Raw genomic sequence first — 4,965 nt, forward strand, 5'->3', positions numbered from 1 at the left:
TTTAGTTTAATTAAGTCCCATCTATTTATCTTTGTTTTTGTTGCATTTGCTTTTGGGTTCTTGGTCATGAAGTCTTTGCCTAAGCCAAAGTCGAGAAGGGTTTTTCTGATGTTATCTTGTAGAATTTTTATGGTTTCAGGTCTTAGATTTAAGTCCGTGATCCATCTTGAGTTGATTTTTCAATAGGGTGAGACATGAGGATCCAGTTTTATTCTTTTACACATGGCTTGCCAATTATCCCAGCACCATTTGTTGACTAGGATGTCCTTTCCCTACTTTATGTTTTTGTTTGCTTTGTTGAAGATCAGTTGGCTGTAAGTATTTGGCTTTATTTCTGGGTTCTCTATTCTGTTCCATTGGTCTATGTGCCTATTTTTATACCAGTACCATGCTGTTTTGTTGACTATGGTCTTACAGTATAGTTTGAAGTCAGGTAATGTGGTGCCTCCAGATTTGTTCTTTTTGCTTAATCTAGCTTTGGCTACGTGAGCTCTTTTTTGGTTCCATATGAATTTTAGGGTTGTTTTGTCTAGTCCTGTGAAGAATCATGATTGTTTTGTCTAGTTCTGTGAAGAATGACAGTGGTATTTTGATGGGAATTGCATTGAATTTGTAGATTGCTTTTGGTGGTATGGTCATTTTCACAATATTGATTCTACCCATTCACGAGCATGGGAAGTGTTCCCATTTTTTGTGTCATCTGTGATTTCTTTCAGCAGTGTTTTGTAGTTTTCCTTGCAGAGGTCTTTCACCTCTCCTTGGTTAGGTATATTCCTAAGTATTTTATTTTATTTTATTTTATTTTATTGCAGCTATTGTAAAGGGGGTTGAGTTCTTGATTTGATTCTCAGCTTGGTTGCTGTTGGTGTATAGCAGAGCTACTGATTTGTGCATATTAATTCTGTGTCTTGAAACTACAGTTCTAGTAGCTTTTGGGAGGATTCTTTAGGGTTTTCTAGGTATACAATCATATCATCAGCAAACAATGATAGTTTGACTTTCTCTTTACTGATTCAGATGCCCTTTCTTTCTTTCTCTTGTCTGATAGCTCTGGCTAGGAATTCCAGCACTATGTTGAAATGAATTGGTGAGAGTGGACATCCTTGTCTTGTTCCAGTTCTCAGAGAGAATGCTTTCAACTTTTCCCCATTCAGTATTATGTTGGCTGTGGGTTTGTAATAGATGGCATTTATTACTTTAAGGTATGTCCCTTCTGTGCTGATTTTGCTGAGAGTTTTAATCATAAAGTGATGCTAGATTTTGTCAAATGCTTTTTCTGCTTCTACTGAGATGATCATCTGATTTTTGTTTTAAATTCTGTTTATGTAATGTATCACCATTATTGATTTGCATATATTAAATCATCCCTGCATCCCTGTTAGGAAACCCACTTAATCATGGTGGATTATCTTTTTGATATGTTGTTGGATTCGCTTAGCTAGTATTTTGTTAAGGATTTTTGCATATGTGCAATATTTGTGCGTAGTTTTTTTGTTGTTGTTACCTTCTTTCCTAGTTTTGGTATTAGGGTGAACTGGCTTCATAGAATGATTTAGGGAGGATTCCCGCTTTCTCTATGTCATAGAATAGTGTCAGTAGGATTAGTACCAATTCTCCTTTGAATGTCAGATAGAATTCAGCTGTGAATATGTCTGGTCCTGGACTTTTTTTTGTTGGCAACTTTTTTTTTATTACCATTTCAATCTCACTGCTTGTTATTGGCTGTTCAGAATTTCTGTTTCTGAGTTTATCTAGGAGGGTTTTATATTTCCAGCAATTTATCCATCTCCTCTAAGTTTTCTATTTTATGTGCATAAAGGTATTGTTCATAGTAGCCTTGATGATCTTTTGTATTTCTGTAGCATCAGTTCTAACATCTCCCATTTTGTTTTTAATTGAGCTTATTTGGATCTTCTGTCTTATTTTCTTGGTTGATCTTGCTAATAGTCTATCAATTTTATTTATCTTTTCAAAGAACTAGCTTTTTGTTTCATTTATCTTTTGCATTTTTGGTTTTAATTTCATTTAGTTCTGCTCTAACCTTTGGTATTTTTCTTCTGCTGCTGGGTTTAGGCTTGGTTTGTTCTTGTTTCTATAGTTCCTTGAGGTATGACCTCAGATTGTCTATTTGTGCTCTTTCAGACTTTTTGATATAGGCATTTCAGCCTATAAACTTTCCTCTTAGCACAGCCTTTGCCATATTCCAGATGTTTTGATAGTTTATGTCACTATTATTTTTCAAAGAATTTTTTAATTTCCATATTGATTTCATTGTTGACCCAGTGATCATTCAGGAGCAGGTTATTTAATTTCCATGTGTTTGCATGGTTTTGAGGGTTCCTTTTGGAGTTGATTTCCAATTTTATTACATTGTAGTTAGAATACTTGATAGAATTTCAATTTTCTTAAATTTATTGAGACTTGTTTTGTGGCCTATCATATAGTGTATCTTGGAGAATGTTTCATGTGTTTATGAATAGAATGTATATTCTCCAGTTGTTGGGTAGAATGTCCTGTAAATATACTTTAAGTCCACTTGTTCTAGAGTATAGTTTAAATCTATTGTTTCTTTGTTGACTGTCTTGATGACCTGTCTCGTGCTGTCAGTGGAGTATTGAAGTCCCCCTCTATTATTGTGTTGCTCTGTATCTCATATCTTAGGTCTAGTAGTAATTGTTTTATAAATTTAGGAGCTTCAATGTTAGGTGCATATATATTTAGGATTGTGATATTTTTCTGTTGGATAAGATTTTTCTTCATTATATAATGCCCATCTTTGTCTTTTTAATGGCTGTTGCTTTAAAGTTTGTTTTGCCTGATATAAGAATAGCTACGTCTGCTTGCTTTTGGTGTCCATTTGCATGGACTACCTTTTTCCACCCCTTTACCTTAAGTCTATGTGAGTCCTTATGCATTAGGTGAGTCTCTTGGACAGCAGGTACTTGGTTGGTAAATTCTTATCTATTCTGCCATTCTGTTACTTTTAAGTGCCATTCTGTTACTTTTACTTTAGGCCATTTACATTCAATGTTAGTATTGACATGTGAGGTACTATTCTATTCATCATGTTATTTGTTGCCTGAATACCTTGTTTTTTTTTTTTTTTCATTGTGTTGTTATATAGGTCCTGTGAGATTTATGCTTTAAGGAGGTTCTATTTTGGTATATTTTGAAGATTTATTTCAAGAGTTAGAGCCCCTTTTAACAGTTCTTCTAGTGCTGGCTTGGTAGTGGGAAATTCTCTCAACTTTTTTTTTTCTTTGTCTGAAAAACACTGTATCTTTCCTTCATTTACAAAGCTTAGTTTCAATGGATACAATATGCTTGGCTGACAATTGTTTTGTTTAAGGAGGCCGAAGATGGGCCCCAATCTCTTCTAGCTTGTAGGGTTTCTGCTGAGAAATCTGCTGTTGATCTGTTAGGTTTTCCTTTATAGGTTACCTGGTGCTTTTGCCTCACAACTCTTTAAGATTCTTTCCTTCATCTTGACTTTAGATAACCTGATGACTATGTGTCTAGGTGATGATCTTTTTGTGGTAAATTTCCCAGGTGTCCTTTGAGCTTCTTCTATTTGGATGTCTATTGGGTAGTGCAAAAGTTATTGCATTTTCTGTCATTCAAAGTAATGGCAAAAACCTAAATTACATTTGCACCAACCTAATAGATCTCTAGCAAGACTGGTGAAGTTTTCCTTGACTATTCCCTTAAATATGGTTCCTAAACTATTAGATTTCTCTTCTTCTTTAGGAACACCAATTATTCTTAGACTTGGTTGTTTAACATATTCCCAAATTTCTTAGAGGCTTTGTTCATTTTTAAAATTATTTTTTGTCTTTGTTGTTGTATTGAGTCAATTCAAAAACTTTATCTTCAAGATCTGAAGTTCTTTCTTCTACTATTCAATTCATTGCTGACACTTTCCACCATATTTTGCATTTCCCTAAGTGTGCCCTTCACTTTCAGAAGTTGTGATATTTTAATTTATGCTATCTATTTCACTGAATATTTTTCCCTTCATATCTTGTATCTTTTTTACATTTAAGTTGGAATTCACTTTTTTTCTGGTGCCTCATTGATTAGCCTAATAATTGATCTTCTGAATTATTTTTTCTGGCAATTCAGGGATTTCTTCTTGGTTTGGATCCATTGCCAGTGAGCTAATGTGATCTTTTGGGGGTACTAAAGAACCTTGTTTTGTCATATTATCAGAATTATTTTTGTGTTTTTCTCAATTGTTCTTTTGTGTAGAATATGTCAGAGGTAATATCTGGGGCTCAAGGGCTTCTGTTCAGATTATTTTGTTCCATGCTCCCTTGATATAGTGCTCCCCCATTCCCCTAGGGATATGGCTTCCTGGGAGCTGAACTGTAGTGATTGTTATTTCTCTTCTGGATCTAGCCACTCAGTGGAGTTACCAGGTTCCGGGCTGGACTGGGGGGGTGTCTGTACAGAGTCCTGTGATATGAACCATCTTCACATCTCTTAGCTGTGTATAGCAGCACCTGCTCCAGTGGAGGTGGCAGGGGAGTGATATAAACTCTGTGATGGTTCTTGTAGTTTTGTTTATTGCACTAGTTTTCTGTTGGTTGGCCTCCTTCCAGGAGGTGGTGCTTTCAAGAGAGCATCAGCTGTGGTAGTATAGTGGGAGTCAGGCTGTGGGTGGCGTCCTAGAGCTCTCAAGAGATTGTGTCCTTTTGTCTTTGGAGTTTTTCAACTATTTACCAGGGCCTGCAGGAGAAATCCACTTCCTTCCCAAATATTTCATTTGTCTTGCTTTTACAAACCACCTTATAGAAGTTTTCCCCTCCCCTTTTCTCAATGAAGCCTAAACTGCTGTGGTTTGGTGCTGCCCAATTCATGACTTGCTGTCTGCTCAAATAAATTCTTTAAAATTTTAATGAGCCTAAGTTTGTATTTTAACAGAGGTAACTAAAAAATACCTTTTCACTTTTATTGTATTTTCGC

This window comes from Homo sapiens, chromosome 11, assembly GCF_000001405.40.
Source record: "Homo sapiens chromosome 11, GRCh38.p14 Primary Assembly".
NCBI lineage: Eukaryota > Metazoa > Chordata > Mammalia > Primates > Hominidae > Homo > Homo sapiens.